The 18,146-nt window shown below is 49.7% G+C and overlaps 1 protein-coding gene across 14 annotated transcripts in view; it reads left to right on the top strand.

The window, feature by feature from the left end:
- SLC39A14 (solute carrier family 39 member 14) overlaps window positions 1–18,146 on the top strand; it is a 66,852-nt gene that overhangs the window by 31,364 nt on the left and 17,342 nt on the right. For 11 of the 14 annotated variants that reach the window (NM_001135154.3, NM_001351656.2, XM_006716324.4 and 8 more), the window contains 6 exons: window positions 6,055–6,339; window positions 9,669–9,855; window positions 13,396–13,565; window positions 16,139–16,261; window positions 17,128–17,316; window positions 17,432–17,639. In NM_001135154.3, coding sequence (NP_001128626.1) covers window positions 6,070–6,339; window positions 9,669–9,855; window positions 13,396–13,565; window positions 16,139–16,261; window positions 17,128–17,316; window positions 17,432–17,639 — 1,147 coding nt within the window. In that variant the 5' untranslated portion in view covers window positions 6,055–6,069. Of the gene's footprint in view, window positions 1–3; window positions 157–6,054; window positions 6,340–9,668; window positions 9,856–11,304; window positions 11,475–13,395; window positions 13,566–16,138; window positions 16,262–17,127; window positions 17,317–17,431; window positions 17,640–18,146 lie in introns of all 14 variants that reach the window. The other 3 variants (XM_047421653.1, NM_015359.6, XM_047421654.1) reach the window with 2 other exon arrangements.

The raw sequence follows: 18,146 nt of genomic DNA on the forward strand, positions 1-18,146 counted from the left end.
TAGACCCAGCGTCACAGAAGTGAATGTTTGCTCCTCTCTGAGAGGGGAGGTGGGCTTAGAAAAAAGTGCAGCATGCTGAACATCACAGAAGCGTCTGTGCAGGACAGAAGTGCCGCTTCTAGGCAGAGCTACTTCTGGACCAAGTGAAGGGTGACGGTAGGTGGAATTCCAATTATGGGCCTCTGGATGGTAAGGCAACTTCTGCGCTTCCATAGAGGGTTCCAGAACAGGTGTCTTGCTTTTTCCTATGTCTCCCTCCCACCTCCCCAAGGGTTGGGTCTGGCGCCTTAGACACAGAAGGAGGGCACTAAAATAATTTTACTTATTTGACCCTGAGGCAAGTGCACCCTCAGGCAGAGAGACTCCAGCCCCTCTCCAGCAGGAAGAGCTGGCCTGGGGGCGCTCCCAAGCCACAGCACACTTCGTTTTGTCTCCTTCCCACTTGTCTTTCTGCCCCTGAAAGGTGTCCATCCTTACTTGAGGGCAGCTGGCCTGACACCCTGGGGGGACTGGAGTGGCTCTCCAGGGGCCACACATGGAATGGAACCTGGCGTGGGGCTTCCTCCTGCAGCTGGGGCCATGCGCGCGGACCCCTGCCCGGCCTCCCCGTCCCAGCGGCGTCAACAGCTGTGTGTGTTTCCCTCTTCTTTCTTTCCTCTCTAATACCTTTTACAAACCTTTTCCCCGCTAAGAATAACTTGTAGTTAAAAAGAAGACAAGACTCCACTGGAGCAGAAAACTCCCCTTTCATGCCTGCCAAAAGGCCGGGGTCACTTGGACTTAAGTGTCACTCGCAGCTCCTAGATCCTCCCCAACCCTTGCGGGTGAGTGCATGTCTCAAGCGCTGGCCAGGCAGGGGGGCTGTGCTCGCTGAATCTGCACACCCCATGGAGACAGGTCTAGACCTGAGCCTGGATGCTGTCTTGTGGGCGTCAGTGCCCAGTGCAGCACACGTCCTGGAGGAAAGAGCAGCTGTGCTGCAGGGGAGAAAAGGTCACCTGGGAGAAGCGAAGGTGGTCCTGTGGGCTCATTCTTCTGATGGTACAACTTGAAGGTGCCTCTTGCCTAGCACTCCAGGCTGTCATAGCAGCCACCTGAGGGGCCGAGGGGCCGCTGGGTCTGGGAAAAGTAAATGCTTCGTAGATGCTCACCTCTAGGTGAGTGCCAGCCAGGCAAAGCTGCTAAAATCACCCTGAGTTTCCCACACCTGAAGTCTTTTGGGGTTTGTTTGCTCAGTGGTTTGAAGTTACAGCGGTTAAGTTTGAGAAATGCAGCTGAGGGGGGAACATCTGTTGGTTTATCTTGTTGAAGTAGCCCCAGAGCACGAGCACTGTGACAGTGTGTCCTCTAAAGGCTACCTAGGGCCGTCCCCTCATAGCACTGCAGAGCATTGTAAGCCAAGATTTGGATGCTTGTTGGGGCTGTTAGACATCGGGAAAGATCTGCACAGAGACACGCAGGACTTTGTGGATCTCCGTGGGTTCCAGGACATGTATTTTTATGTCTTTGTGCAGAGGGCATGGTGGTTAAGAAAGCACTGAATTTAACGTCATTCAGACCAGGCTTTGATTTACAAAGCAATTCAGCTTCTGGCTTTGCTGCTTGCTTCTGTGGGTCATGTTTCCTAATCGCTGAACCCCAGTGTCCTTGTCTGTTACGTGGAGTAAGTTTCCCAGCTTCTGTTAAAGGAACTGGGGAATGCCAAGTGCTTAGCAAGGTCTGCAATCGGTAAATGCTAGCTGCTGTCCATCATCTCTTTGCCTTTTCTTTTCTAAATACAGGCAGACCTCCCCCTTGTTTTGACAGTACAACTCCTGCCATCGACAGTTCACAGTCTGCTCTGATGGATAACCACTTTCTTTGTACAACAGGTTTTTAGTCATTTTTGCCTAAGATCCACCCTGCTCGCCAAAATTTAACATTTGTCTCTTGGTGGAGATTTGAGAGTTGTGAATCTCAAAGTAGCACTTTTACAAACCGTCGTTGTGGCTGATGCCGAATCCATCCATGTGGACTCAAAAGTATATATTCCACTGAAGAGTGATATTTTATGTCCCCAGATTCTGTGCGTGCCCCATACGTGGATCCTAAAGCATGTGATGTCCCTGGGTGTATCACAGTAGGGGACTTAAGTGATGTGTGTGCCCCAGGGCCTGTAGTTAAGATACTTTAGTTGGCCACAGGATATGCCTGACAGTTTCATTAGCAGCCTGATGTTTGGGTTGAGAGAGTCAGAGTTGGGAACCCTGCTGATTTATAAGTCTTATAATTATTATAGCTAAATTTTATTGAGTGCTTTCTATATGGTTCAGGTACTTGGCAAGGGCCTTGCCATATCTTATGCTGTTAGATCCTCAAAGTAATCTAATGAGGTGGATACCAATTTTATAGATGAGAAAACTGAAGGTAGAGGGAGACTGGGTTGCTTGTCTGTAGTTACTTACAAGCAGCTGTGCAGAAATTCAAGGTAGGTTTGTCTGACACTGAAGGCCATGATAAGCTGCGTCGCTGCTTTGAGTGATTCTAGAATGTTGACTCCAGTTAAATAATTCATCCAAGATCACATTGCTGGTAAGTGGCAGAGCCAGGATTCAGGCAAGCCTGCTCTCAGCCACTCTGCCGCTGTTCCTCTGTCGTAAGCAAAGCCTCAGGGCATGTGATGCACTGAGATTAGTGTCCGAGCCCTGGGTGCCTGGGTAAGAAATGGCTGCAGTGATTGGCTGCTTCTTGGTCTGGAGAAAGGAGACTCATTTTCCCCTCTGGATAATTTGTTTAGATCACTAATTAAATTATAACCATACTAAGGGAGGTGGTTAACAAAAGAAAAATCGTCATCAATCTTACTTTAAGCTTTCATTTATCTGTGTTCTTTCTTTCTGTCTTTCTCTTTCTCTTCTCTTTCTTTTTTTTTTTTTTTTTTTTTTGAGATGGAATCTTGCTCTGTCCCCCAGGCTGGAGTGCAGTGGCACTATCTCGGCTCACTGCAAGCTCCACCTCCTGGGTTCAAGTGACTCTCCTGCCTCATCCTCCCGAGTAGCTGGGATTGTGTGTGCCTGGCTAATTTTTGTATTTTTACTACAGACGGGGTTTCACCGTGTTGGCCAGGCTGGTCTCGAACTCCTGAGCTCAAGTGATCTGCTGGCCTTGGTCTCCCGAAGCGCTGGGATTACAGGCGTGAGCCACTGTGCCCGGCCTCATTTGTCTGTGTTCTTTCTCAGTTCTAAACTCTGCCACATAATTGCCCTGCTTTTTAACTTGCCGTTATGCCATGACTCATTTATAGCTGCATACTATTCCATGAAACTGATATGATTTACTTGACCCATAACACATCTTTCTGCATATAGCCTTTTTACTTTTGGATTACTTCTATTAAAGCAAATTAATTAATTATTAATTGTTAATTGAGGGATTTATATATTTTCCTTATCACATAACTTTTCAAGAGTCCCATTATAGGCTGGGCGCAGTAGCTCACGCCTGTAATCCCAGCACTTTGGGAGGCGGAGGCGTGTGGGTCACGAGGTCAGGAGATTGAGACCATCCTGGCTAACACAGTGAAACCCCGTCTCTACTAAAAATACAAAAACAAAATTAGCCGGGCGTGGTGGCAGGTGCCTGTAGTCCCAGCTACTTGGGAGGCTGAGGTGGGAGAATGGTGTGAACCCAGGAGGCGGAGCTTGCAGTGAGCCAAGATCTGGCCACTGCACTCCAGCCTGGGCGACAGAGCAAGACTCCGTCTCAAAAAGAAAAAAAAAGAAAGAGTCCCATTATTTATGCAGTCAATGGTATCTTATTCTATTGCTTAGCCTCACTAACATGAAATGTTTTATCTTAAAAAATTCTGGCCGGGCACGGTGGCATACGCCTACAATCCCAACACTTGGGGAGCCCGAGGCAGGAGGATCATCTGAGGTCAGCAGTTCGAGAACAGCCTGACCAACATGGTAAAACCCTGTCTCTACTAAAAATACAAAATTAGCCGGGTATGGTGGCCAGCGCCTATAATCCCAGCTACTTGGGAGGCTGAGGCAGGAGAATTGCTTGAACCCAGGAGGTGGAGGTAGCAGTGAGCCGAGATGGCGCCACTGCACTCCAGCCTGGGCAATAGAGTGAGACTCCATTTCAAAAAAAAAAAAAAAAAATGTTGCTATTTTAATAAGTAGCAAAATGGAACCAGCCAAGTTTTAAATTTATATTCTCAATACTATAGAGAGGCTGTTTTTTATGTTTGTTTACTAATTTGTACAGTATAGAAATAAACCTATGTCATATCAAATGGTATATATTTTTGCCAGTCTGTAATTTTTCTCTTTTAGTTATGGTGTTTGTTTGTTTGTTTGTTTGTTTATTGAGACAGAGTCTCGCTCTGCCGCCCAGGCTGGAGTGCAGTGGCACAATCTTGGCTCACCACAGGCTCTGCCTGCAGGGTTCACGCCATTCTCCTGCCTTAGCCTCCCGAGTAGCTGGGACTACAGGCGCCCGCCACCACACCCGGCTAATTTTTTCTATTTTTAGTAGAGATGGGGTTTCACTGTGTTAGCCAGGATGGTCTCGATCTCCTGACCTCGTGACCTGCCTGCCTTGGCCTCCCAAAGTGCTGGGATTACAGGCATGAGCCACTGCGCCCGGCCTATTTATTTATTTATTTATTTTGAGACGGAGTCTTGCTGTGTCGCCCAGGCTGGAGTGCAATGGCGCGATCTTGGCTCACTGCAACCTCTGCCTCCCAGGTTCAAGCGATTCTCCTGCCTCAGCCTCCTGAATAGCTGGGATTACAGACGTGCACCACCATGCCTGGCTAATTTTTTGTATTTTTAGTAGAGATGGGATTTTACCATGTTGGCTCAGCTGGTCTCGAACTCCTGACCTTGTGATCCACCCACCTCAGCCTCCCAAAGTGCTGGGATTACAGGCATGAGCCACAGTGCCCGGCCGATGTTTATTTTTTAATAGCTTTATTTCAGAGCATTTCAAACATATATAAGTAGACAGGGCCGGGCACAGTGGCTCATGCCTATAATCCCAGCAGTTTGGGAGGCCGAGGTGGGTGGATCACTTGAGCCCAGGAGTTTGAGACGAGCGGGCAAATATGGTGAAACCCCATCTCTACTAAAAATACAAAAATTAGCCAGGCGTGATGGCAAATGCCTGTAATCCCAGCTCCTCAGGAGGCTGAGGCAGGAGAATTGCGTGAACCTGGGAGGTGGAGGTTGCAGTGAGCCGAGATCGTGCCACTGCACTTTAGCCTGGGAGACAGAAAGACTGTCTCAAAAACAAACAAACAAACAAACAAACAAAAACTAGACAGAGAGTCTGATGAATTCCTATCTACCTGTCACTTAGTTCCAGTGAATATCAGCTCATGCCTGATCATGTCTCATCCACACCCGTGTGCTCATACCCCCTCCTTTATTATTTTGAAGCAGTCCCCAGATATAAGATGTCAAATCCATGGTTATTTCAGTACCTCTAAAACGACTTCTAAAAAATCATAACTGGCCGGGTGCAGTGGCTCACGCCTGTAATTCCAGCACTTTGGGGGGCCGAGGTGGGTGGATCACCTGAGGTCACGAGTTCGAGACCAGCCTGGCCAACATGATGAAACCCGATCTCTACTAAATATAGAAAAAAATTAGTTGGGTGTGGTGGCGGGCCCCTGTAATACCAGCTACTTGGGAGGCCTGAGGCAGGAGAATCACTTGAACCCAGGAGGCGGAGGTTGCAGTGAGCTGAGATTGCGCCACTGCACTCCAGCCTGGGCAACGAGTGAATCTCCCGTCTCAAAAAAAAAAAAAAATCATAACCGCATTGCTGTTTGTTTTTTTTTTTTTCATTTTTCAATCTAGTCAAAACTGTTGAATTTGTCCTTTTTATTCGTTTTTATTCTGTGCTTTCAAAAGAAGGGTTTTTCTCAAAGGCTAATTCAAGAAGGAGCAGAGAAGCAGAGACTGAGGGATAGTCTCAACATGTTCAGTGTGTGGCGGGCGGGCCTGGCGCAGTTGCCGGCACACAGGGAGAGGCCTCAGCTTCACCTGCCTTTTTCTCTCACAGGTTTATTCAGTCACCATGAAGCTGCTGCTGCTGCACCCGGCCTTCCAGAGCTGCCTCCTGCTGACCCTGCTTGGCTTATGGAGAACCACCCCTGAGGCTCACGCTTCATCCCTGGGTGCACCAGCTATCAGCGCTGCCTCCTTCCTGCAGGATCTAATACATCGGTATGGCGAGGGTGACAGCCTCACTCTGCAGCAGCTGAAGGCCCTACTCAACCACCTGGATGTGGGAGTGGGCCGGGGTAATGTCACCCAGCACGTGCAAGGACACAGGAACCTCTCCACGGTAAGGCTCCCCTGTGAGCCAGCAGCTCTGCTCAGCCCCGTCTCTGGCCTCTCAGGGTTCCCTGTCTAGTTGGGCCCAGGGCAGCCTGGCAGCTTGGCAGAGGTAGGATGAGGCAGACAAGTCTCGATGATAGAGTGGACAGGCTGATTCTTTCTCTCTCATTGTCTGAATCAGCAAATTCTGAGTCTTCTGCAGCACCTTCTGACCCCCTGCATAGGTGTTCTGAAGCCCTTAACAAAAGGCAGCCTGGGGCTGGGCACAGTGGCTCACGCCTGTAATCCCAGCACTTTGGGAGGCCAAGGCGGGTGGATTATCTGAGGTCAGGGGTTCGAGATCAGCCTGGCCAACATGGTGAAACCCCAACTCTACTAGAAATACAAGAATTAGCCAGGCATGGTGGCGGATGCCTGTGATCCCAGCCACTTGGGAGGCTGAGGCAAGAGAATCGCTTGAACCCAGGAGGTGGAGGTTGCAGTGAGCCAAGATCGAGCCATTGCACTCCAGCCTGGGCAACAGAGCGAGAATCTGTCTCAAAACAAAACAAAATAAAAGGCAGCCTGGAAGTGGGGTTCTCAGCCCCCCAGAATCTTCCTCAGCGCCGCACTTGAGTCACTCAGAAATACTGAGAAAACACGGCTCCCAGGACGGTATTTCTCATAGAGTTTACCATTGACAGAGTCCATTACACACTATCCCGGGTGAGCCCACAGTCCCTCAAGGTGCAGGTGAGATTATCTGCATTTTATAGGAGAGGACACCGAGGGTCCCGCAGTGAGTCCCTGCAGAGACCAGGGCTGGAACGCCAGGTCTTTGGATTCTGTGTTCTTTCTTCCATATCATCTCTGCTAATCAGACTCTGGGGCTATTTGTGGCAGCCAAATATAAGTCAGCCAGCAAAATCTTTATATATCGACTTTGTTCCCTGTGCTGGTGTTGTGAGAAATAGAGAAAAATGAGTCATATTTAGGGAGTTGACTGTCACGATGGGGAGTTCAACCAACAGAGGACAAAGTCAGCAGGCACTGAAATGAAGCATTGCATTTTGTGGGTTGGACAGTAATTGTAGGATGCAGAAATGAGAGGGGGAGATGAGTGTGCTGCAGTCATCAGGGAAGGCTCGAGCGTGGGGTGTCCTCCAGCTGCCCCTTGAAAGATGAGTGCAGTGTGGAGATAAAATGGACGGGGGTGCTGGGCACTGTGGCTCACGCCTGTAATCCCAGCACTTTGGGAGGCCTAGGCAGGCAGATCACTTGAGATCAGGAGTTTGAGACTAGCCTGGCCAACACAGTGAAACCCCATCTCTACTAAAAATACAAAAATTAGCTCGGTGTGGTGGTGGGTGCCTCTAATCCCAGCTACTCCGGAGGCTGAGGTGAGAGAATCACTTGAACCCAGGAGGTGGAGGCCTCAAAAGTTGGGGGGGAGGAGCGGGGCCGGGCGCGGTGGCTGACGCCTGTAACCCCAGCACTTTGGGAGGCTGAGGCAGGTGGATCACGAGGTCAGGAGATCGAGACCATCCTGGCTAACACGGTGAAACTCCGTCTCTGCTAAAAATACAAAAATTATCTGGGTATGGCGGGAGATACCTGTAGTCCCAGCTACTTGGGAGGCTGAGGCAGGAGAATTGCTTGAGCCCAGGAGGCAGAGGTCGCAGTGAGCGGAGATTATGCCACTGCATTCCAGCCTGGCGACAGAGCGAGACTCCATCTCAAAAAATAAAAATTAAAAAAAGGGACGGGGGAACCACGTGGCTTGGATGCGAACACCTGAGCACATCAGATGCTGAGCCAGAGACAAGCACGCCCCCGTGCCCCCGCGGGGTAATGCAGCTGCGTGAGCCTCAGGACCCGCCAGGATAGCAGCAGCATCTCGGGGTGGCGGGAGTCCAGCCCCCAGCCTTAGAAGCGCAGGCACTTATTTTGGGAGCACACCAAGAGGGCTGACTCTCAGAGATAAGCCCATGTGAGACCGAACTCAGAAAAGGCCTGGCATGTAGGTGTAGACAGTATAATTAGAAGTGGAGCTGCAGATTTCACAGGAACGGTTCGTGAGAAGCGCTTACCTGCTGCCTCCCAAGGTGACTGTGTGTGGTGGCTGCTGGCCGGCCATGGCCCACTTCCCTGAATCTTCAGGTTTTCCTCCCCTAACCTCTGTGAACACATATGTCTTTCAGGCTGAGGGCAGTCCTATGGTTGAGGATGTGTGGGGCTGATCGGGCAGCACCACAGTTTTGGCAGAGCCCCGCCCTTAGACATTTCAGCTTCAGAGAAGTAGCTGGAACCCGCATTTTAACATAATAGCTCCCTGGGCTATTGTGATGTGCAGCCAGATTTGGTACGAAGCTTGTATCTTCAGGCACACACACAGAATGGTGTTTTCTTTCTCTTTTGTTTTGTGGGGGATGGAGTCTCGTTCTGTTGCCCAGGCTGGAGTGCAGTGGCGCGATCTCGGCTCGCTGCAACCTCCACCTCCTGGGTTCAGGTGATTCTCCTGCCTCAGCCTCCCGAGTAGCTGGGATTACAGGCGTGAGCTACCACGCCCGGCTAATTTTTGTATTTTTAGTAGAGATGGGGCTTCAACATGTTGGCCAGGCTGGTTTTGAACTCCTGACCTCAAGTGATCTGCCCATCTGAGTCTCCCAAAGTGCTGGGATTACAGGCGAGAGCCACCGCACCTGGCCCCAGAATGGTGTTTTCTAGAAACTATACCCTAGTGACAATATTTTGCTTTTTTTTTTTTTTTAAGAGACAGGGTGTTGCTCTGTCACCCAGGCTGGAGTGCAGTGGTGTGATCATAGCTCCTTCACTGTAGCCTCCAACTCCTGGGCTCTAGCAGTCCCCCTGCCTCAGCCTCCTCAGTAGTTGAGAGTACAGGTATGTGCCGCCACACCTCACTAATTTTTCAACTTTTTGTAAAGAAGGGGTCTCATGTTGCCCAGGCTGGTCTCCAATTTCTGTCCTCAAGTGATCCGCCTGCCTTGGCCTTCCAAAGTGCTGGGATTACAGTGTTAGCCACCGTGCCCTGCCACTTTGGTGACAATGATTGGAATCTTGTCATTCCCAAAGTTTCTCAGGCACTCATTTACCGACGGTTGTGCTTATGATGTGTAACTTTCCTGGCTGGCTGAGCCATAAGGATTAGTTACTAGTTTTTTAAGTTTAGGGAATACCTTGCCCTCATCCCTAGACTAGATGAATCTACAAATTCCCTGAAATTTGGACATTTCTGTCTTCTCTTTTTCCTCTGGGAAGGCTGAGTAGGTTGCTGTTTAGCAGGGCAAGGCCTGACCTTTGGGGTCTAAGCGGCTTCCTGCCCTTCCTGTGTTTCAGTGCTTTAGTTCTGGAGACCTCTTCACTGCCCACAATTTCAGCGAGCAGTCGCGGATTGGGAGCAGCGAGCTCCAGGAGTTCTGCCCCACCATCCTCCAGCAGCTGGATTCCCGGGCCTGCACCTCGGAGAACCAGGAAAACGAGGAGAATGAGCAGACGGAGGAGGGGCGGCCAAGCGCTGTTGAAGGTGAGCCAGGCCAGGAAGGCAGGAGCCCATCTCCCATCTCGCCCGCGTCTCACAAGGACCCCTGGGCTGAGCTGCTGCTGCTCCTCACTGAATGCCTCACCAGTGATGACCAGGATGAGGTTGTCGGTGTCAGGAGCGGGAGCGATGATTGGATGGATAATTTTTGTATTTTGCAAGGATGGCCTAGCACATTGTCAGACTCCTGGGCCGTAGCTGGCGAATGTTCAGAGCGTTGGACTTCTTGAGCGGCCTATGGATCCCTTTTTGGTCTGCTTTTTGTTTCATGTTGAACCACGGGGGCCCAACCCTTTGGCTTTTTTAATCTTTTTTTTTTTTTTTTCTGAGATAGGATGTCGCTCTGTCTCCGAGGCTGGAGTCCAGTGGTGCAATCATAGCTCACTGCAGCCTTGACCTTTTGGCCTGAAGTGACCCTCCTGCCTCAGCCTCCTGAGTAGCTGGGACTACAGGCGTGCACCGCCATGCCCAGCTAATTTTTAAATTTTTTGTAGAGACACGGTCTCACTATGTTACCCAGGCTGGTCTCAAACTCCTGGGCTCAAGTGATCCTCCTGCCTCGGCCTCCCAAAGTGCTGGGATCACAGGCATGAGCCACCATACCTGGCCTACTTTGGTTTTATAGTTTTTCCTTTAAGACCTCCCGGAGGCTGCACTTGGCCCCTGAATCCTTCTTCCCCTCCCTATCCCGGTATCCCTGATCCAGCCACAGTGGGCTTGCCACGAGCTGTGAGTGTACACCCTGATAGCCCTAAGCCCCATAGGGCCGGCGTGTGCTGCCTGAGTGTCGGCACCCGGAATATACTGTCTGTGTTACTGCAAGTCCCTGTTTTCTGCTGTCGTTATTTACTTGTATGGCTTTTTTTGTTTTTTTTGTTTGTTTGTTTTGAGACAGACTTTCGCTCTTGTTGCCCAGGCTGAAGTGCGGTGGTGCAATCTCGGCTCACTGCAACCTCCGCCTCCTGGGTTCAAGCGATTCTCCTGCCTCAGCCTCCTGAGTAGCTGGGATTTCAGGCACGCGCCACCACGCCCAGCTAATTTTTTGTATTTAGTAGAGATGGGGTTTCACCATGTTAGTCAGGCCGGTCTCGAACTCCTGACCTCAGGTGATCCACCTTCCTCAGCCTCCCAAAGTGCTGGGATTATAGGCTTGCGCCACCGCACCTGGCCTACTTGTATGGTTTTTAGGCTTCCATTGCTGTTTGCATCCGTCTCTCCATGGAAAAGGTGTTTCTCTTGGATAGCAATTTTGATAGTTTCCCTAGGCTTCTCCGCAGCATCTGGTGAGAGATGGACTCAGCAAATGTTTACTGATGGGTTGGTGGATCTCAGTCTGCCCCATCACACCTGAATTCAGAACAGGGCCGCCCCAGGCAGCAGGAGTGTCCCCACCCTCAGTAATAGAGGCCCTCGTCTGTTCTTGTTCCTCCACAGTGTGGGGCTTTGGTTTTCTCAGTGTCTCACTGATTAACCTGGCCTCTCTCCTGGGAGTCCTCGTCCTGCCCTGCACAGAGAAAGCGTTTTTCAGCCGTGTGCTCACTTACTTCATCGCCCTGTCCATTGGAACGCTGCTGTCTAACGCGCTATTCCAGCTCATCCCAGAGGTGCAGTAGAACAGAAACTTGCGCGTCCTCTTTCCCTGGGGCGGCACAGCTGAGCCAATCCCCTCCTCCCCTACCCTGGGCTCCAAGGCACCCAATGACTGCCACCTGAGAAATGAACCTGTCCCTCGTATCAAAGCCACAAACGACTTCTAACTCTGGATCTCAGGGCCCACCTCTCACTCCTCTGGCCTCTGCAGGTGCTGTCAGATGCAAGGTTCTTCCAATTTCCCTCCTCCTGGGGACTTGACAGTCTCCCCTCCCTTGTTAAGCCCCATACATAAGGCATCAAGGGAAAGCAGCAGCTATCGACTGCCGTCCATGCCTTTGGTGCTAAGTACTTGCTCTATTCTAAGGAGAAATCCTGGCAGTACTCAGGTCTGGGCACCAAGAGCTTATCCATCTGGAATGAGATGGAAGGAAAAGAGGTTACCAAGTGATATGTAGAATTGGCCTAAAAAGCGAGTGTTCTTTAATTTTGAGCAGGCCATCGTTTCTAGCATAGAGAGCCAAACACAGAACAAAGACTAAGACCAAACAAAATTAAAATGACAAGATAAATGGAAGGGGCACTCAGCCCTTTGTACCTTGCATCTTGACTTTTTTCTGATAGGACTGACTTCCTGGTACCTTGACTTGACTGTTTTGAAATGTTAATTTTGTTGTTTAATTGTTATCATAGAGGAGCTATAAAAATAAGGCCCAAGTTGACAGTCTGCCCACTTTTTTAGCTCAAGCAGGGATGCTGCTGTGGAGGGTGAGGATACGCAGACGTGTGGTTGACCCCATTAGGGAGTCATGGATGCTGCCCTTCACAAAGATCCCATGTCAGCTGCTTCTCAGGCTTTCCCAGTCAAAAGACTCACCCAGAAAAGACAGCAGATGGGATGCCATGCCTTGCCTGTTCTTCCTGGTTGAATGTGAACCATCTTGGTGCCATCTCAAAATTCTGCATGGCTCTGACAAACACTTTGCAGGGGAGGCCTCAACTTGGGCTATTTTTTCAGCTCCAGCAATGGAATATATTAATTTTTTAAAGATTTGAAATGAAAGGCCTTGTGACCTCCTGGAATGGAAATACTGTAATTGTGTGTGCTCCACCCCTGTGGCCTGCCAGGGAGTGTCTCATCCTGGTCTGGTTCTGTCTTGCCCTCTTTTGGGCCTGGACAGAGTGTCACAACTGGGAAATGTTCAAGGAAATATTTTTGTGACAGGGTGTTCCTGGAACTCTGTTCTTTGTGCTTGAGCCCCTCTCAGAGCACATGGAAATGAGCAAAGAAGTTGAGAGGTTAAGACACTGAATTTTATGGGCATTGGGCATGAATTAATCGTTCTCCATCCCTTCTGCCCTGCACATCTGGCTTGGTTGTGTCTTGCACAAAGCAAACCAAGTGGTCGTGGTGTCACCCGAGCCTGCGCCGTGTGAATTGGACATGCAAAAGCAAACGCAGCAGCAGAGTGATCAGCCTCTTTCCACCTGCTTGCATGTCCTATAAAGAGAGCCCTCGAGTCCAAAGTCTGTCCTGGACAGCCTCTGTGATAGGTCTGGGCAGACCTTGGGTGTGTGACGAGGCAGCACCCTGCCCTGCCAGTCACACCACTGGCAGGAACGATTTGGGGCCACCAGTGGCCACAGGGGCAGAAGTCACAGGGTTCCAAGGCCACCTTGAATTCCTCTTTCTTCTGAACTGATTGAAGGAAATTTCATCAGATGTGAATCACTAACAAATTTTCTATTTCTCTCTCCCTCCCTACTTGTCTCTCTCTGATTTTTCTTTTTTGTTCCGTTAATATCCACCAAACTTTTCCTTGCGACCTCCCTATCTGCTCCACCTTCCTCCCGCTAAATGGTGGTTGCTGTGCAATGGGGCATGTGCCTTCTCTCCCTGCCCTGGGTGGGGCTGGCCCTCCCTCCGCACGGCAGTGTGGGGATACGGTCTCCTCTGTGTGACCGTCATCTCCCTCTGCTCCCTCCTGGGGGCCAGCGTGGTGCCCTTCATGAAGAAGACCTTTTACAAGAGGCTGCTGCTCTACTTCATAGCTCTGGCGATTGGAACCCTCTACTCCAACGCCCTCTTCCAGCTCATCCCGGAGGTATGGCAAGCCAGGGCCTTCACCCCGGAGCATGCCGGCGGGCACAGTGGGAGGACCTCCGTTTGGATAGAAGGCATAGAGAGGGCACCTGGAGGCCCTTTCCTTTTGGAAAGCGAAGCTAGAACTTAGGCGTGAACTAGGAGAGGCAGCCCAGCATAGGCTGAAGAGCTGGGTTCAAATCTCAGCTCTGCTATCAGTAGGTTCCGTAACCCCAGGCACACCACTGACCTCACACTGCCTCTGTTTCTTCAGATGTGAAATGGGGAGAGCAATAGACCGGCCTCAGGATGATGTTGTGAGGGTGGAACGAGCGAGTCTGCTGCAGCACTGAGTGCCTGGTGCGGAAAGTGCTGTCTGATGTGGGGTGAAAAGATGCAGTGTAGCGAGCTCACTCTGGCTTAGTTGTGGTGCTCAGATTAAGGCTTTGGGTGCAGAGAAGTTTAAAAAACATCATCAGCCGGGTGCAGTGGCTCACACCTATATTCCCAGCACTTTGGGAGGCTGAGGCAGGTGGATCGTTTGAAGTCAGGAGTTCAAGACCAGCCTGGCCAACATGGTGAAACCCCGTCTATACTAAAAACACAAAAATTAGCCAGACGTGGTAGCGCACGCCTGTAATCCCAGCTATTCGGGAGGCACAAGAATCACTTGAACCCAGGAGATGGAGGCTGCAGTGAGCCGAGATTGCACCACTGCACTCCAGCCTGGGTGACGGGAGTGAGACTCCGTCTCAAAACAAACAAACAAACTCCCACATCATCAGAACCCACAGTTCTCAGTAAAAAGATTGTCCATAGGGAGTTTTGGGGCAAAGGCAATGCAAGTCAAACAATGTCTGGTTTTATATACCTTGATGGTACCTTTGCCTAATAAGTTCATGAGAAAACTTGCCACAAAAGAAGGAGCTGATGGTTCATCTAATTTGGTGTAATCCCCTCAGCAGACCCATTAATTACAATAAGCACAGGACGTCTCCCTGTGGGTGGTCTCGCAGGCCTGGACAGAGCCGCAGTTGAAGCAGAGATGACTGCATGCGCCTCTTACAACACTTGGTGTTTTCTGAAATGTCAGTTGGCTCCCTCCTAGTGGATCCTTAGGTTAACTCCATGGCATCGATAGAACAAGTAACGTTTTACCACGTTGGAATCTGACCTGCACAAGAGCGCATATCCCTGAGTCGAGAACCCAGCTTTTGGGATTTCTGAAGCTCAACCCCATGATTCTGTATTCACCATCCTTTGTGGCTTTTTGCAGAGAAGTGTTCGTTGCCTATTTTCACTTCACTTTTCCCCCAAGATGATTCGACTCCCCTGGAAAGTCAACATGAAAGTGTTGTTTCCCTGGAGGGTGGTGATTCAATTTGGCCTGTTTAAAACATAAAGGCAACAAACAGCCCAGAGTTCCTTGAAGTTGGGATCAACTTTTATTTTGGACCAATTCATGAGAGGGCTGAAGTTTATTCAAGGCCCGTTTCCCATCAGAAAATGGAGGAACAACCCGGTAAATATATATACTTCCTATGTACCCACAAAAAAATTTAAGAATAAAATAGGAGCAAGTCGTTAGATACTTTTTTTTGTTTGTTTTTGAGACAGTCTCACTCTGTCACCCAGACTGGAGTGCAGTGGTGCCATCTCGGCTCACTGCAATCTCTGCCTCCTGGGTTCAAGCCATTCTCCTGCCTCACACTCCCGAGTAGCTGGGATTACAGGTGTGCCACCAGGCCCAGCTAATTTTTGTATTTTTTTTTTTAGTAGAGTTGGGGTTTCGCCATGTTGGCCAGGCTGGTCTCAAAACTCCTGGCCTCAAGTGATCCACCCACCTCGGTCCTTTAAAGTGCATGAGCCACCGTGCCCGGCCAGGTCATTAGACACATTCACAAGAACCCACCATAAATCAGGAGCTTACCCTAGGACAGAATTCTCTTGATTTCTACTCCTGTCCTCTTCCCAGTGGATTCTCCCCTCCCTCTTTGATAAGTGACAGTTTCAGAAAGGACTCAAAACAAAACCCAAAAATTGACGCTCGCAATAACACAGTCCACTTTCTTGGTTCTGTGGTCACTGGGAGGTCTGCGGTTAGGAAAACGCTGCAGTTCTTATTACTTAACTGGGAAATGGGTTTCCCGTTTTAGAAAGTATAATTACACCATCTCCCTTTGTGTTTACAGGCAGGTCAGCCAGGAACACTAGATAAGATGAAAATAAATACAAGTGTCTGCTCCTTCAATATGAAATCTATTGGCAGAGAATGCCTTCATAGCAAAGCACCAAGATAAATCAAAAGTGGAAAACCATATCGGAGGTTTTTCTTTCTGGGATTAAAATTCTACAGATGATCAGTCTTTTGCATCAGCAAATAAGCTTGAGAAGAACCTGGCAGGTTTAGTGATGTCACATCAGGGAAACACCAAGGACTAGATTTTTGCTGGAAAGAGGATGGGTAGACGGCAGAGTTACTCCATTATGCCTCTCTCCTTTCCTAGAGTCAAGGAAGTAGTTAAGAGATAAGAGGGGGATCAGTAAAGATGCTTTATTTTCTTTAAAACTCATTTTCTTTTCCTGGGTCCACAGGCATTTGGTTTCAACCCTCTGGAAGATTATTATGTCTCCAAGTCTGCAGTGGTGTTTGGGGGCTTTTATCTTTTCTTTTTCACAGAGAAGATCTTGAAGATTCTTCTTAAGCAGAAAAATGAGGTGAGGCCCAATTGTTGCTGAAGAAAGCTCTTCTAGGGAAAACACCCATCTCAAACAATGTTGATGTATTGTGGTGGTGGTGGTGATGGTCTTAGCCCAATATCACAATTTCCGTGAAACTCTAATTTCTTGAGGAGACAATCCCATTTCACCTCCTGAGGATATTTGGCCAGAAGTGAGGCCAGACCAGAAACTAGATCTGGCCAGGGTGCCTTCTACTAAGCAGTAGTTTATCCCCTTTGTTTTGTTCTAAGATTATTTCCTTAATATATTTGTATCTTTACAGGATGGGGAGAAGAGCTTGATACCATGCATTCATTCTGTATGAAGTATGAGGCTGCAGAGAAACAGGACTATTATAGTACAGTTTCAAAAAGATATCTTTAGTGGCTGGCATGCAGTTATTCCCTAAATAGCTGCTGAATTGAGTGAGATTAGCCATTGCAAAAGAGGAGCTCTAAATATTTGAGCAGTGGCTGCCTTGGTGGAATAAGCATGTACCCCGAGGAGACAGCTTTGATATCTGTCTGACACCAGGTCCTTCGCACTTGGTGCAGATTTATATATATAGATATTAGAAACGGGGTCTCGCTTCGTTGCCCAGGCTGCTCTCAAACTTCTCAGCTCAAGCAGTCCTCCCACCTCGGCCTCCCACAGTGCTGGGATTACAGGTGTGAGCCACCGTGCCCGACCATGGCTTTATATAATAGCTTTTGCTATGTTTCTGGGCACGTGACCTGCTTGTGTCATCTTCGATGGTAAGGCTGAGGTCTTCCAGTGTGTGAAGCACTTCCTTGGAGCAGGTGCTCAATCAGGTTTGTGGTTTTGGTGAATGTCATGCTGATCCCTCCCTGTCACCCTTCCAGCATCATCATGGACACAGCCATTATGCCTCTGAGTCGCTTCCCTCCAAGAAGGACCAGGAGGAGGGGGTGATGGAGAAGCTGCAGAACGGGGACCTGGACCACATGATTCCTCAGCACTGCAGCAGTGAGCTGGACGGCAAGGCGCCCATGGTGGACGAGAAGGTCATTGTGGGCTCGCTCTCTGTGCAGGTCAGTGGGCCACCAGCTGCTTGGTGGAGCCTCTAAGAGGTTGACTCAGGCTTACCTTGAGGGCACATGGTCCAGCCTTTGACGCTGTGGGCCCTGGGGGTGTGCTTTCTCCTAGGACCTGCAGGCTTCCCAGAGTGCTTGCTACTGGCTGAAAGGTGTCCGCTACTCTGATATCGGCACTCTGGCCTGGATGATCACTCTGAGCGACGGCCTCCATAATTTCATCGATGGCCTGGCCATCGGTGCTTCCTTCACTGTGTCAGTTTTCCAAGGCATCAGCACCTCGGTGGCCATCCTCTGTGAGGAGTTCCCACATGAGCTAGGTAAGCGTGCGTCCCCCGTTCCACTGGTGCTCCCTTGGGTGGTGGTGTAGGCCCCCTTCCTGTGGCCGGTTCCTTGCTCCCATCTCCCTGTCTTCACAGTGCTTATTGTAACTGATTTAACACACTCCTAAAGCTTCATGGACCCTAATCACCTTTTTTTTGGAGACGGAGTCTCGCACTGTTGCCCAGGCCGGAGTGCAGTGATGTGATCTCGGCTCACTGCAACCTCCACCTCCTGGGTTCAAGCGATTCTCCTGCCTCAGTCTCCCAAGTAGCTGGGATTACAGACGCCTGCCACCACACTCGGCTAAATTTTTTTTTTTTTTTTGGATTTTTAGTAGAGACAGGGTTTCACTACGTTGGCCAGGCTGGTCTTGAACTCCTTACCTCGTGATCCGCCCGCCTCAGCCTCCCAAAGTGCTGGGATTACAGGCTTGAGCCACCGAACGTGGCCTAACCACCATTTCTTAACGATTAAATAGATAATTTAAAATGATGGGGTTTTTA

Source organism: Homo sapiens, chromosome 8 (assembly GCF_000001405.40).
Source record: "Homo sapiens chromosome 8, GRCh38.p14 Primary Assembly".
Classification (NCBI taxonomy): Eukaryota; Metazoa; Chordata; class Mammalia; order Primates; family Hominidae; genus Homo; species Homo sapiens.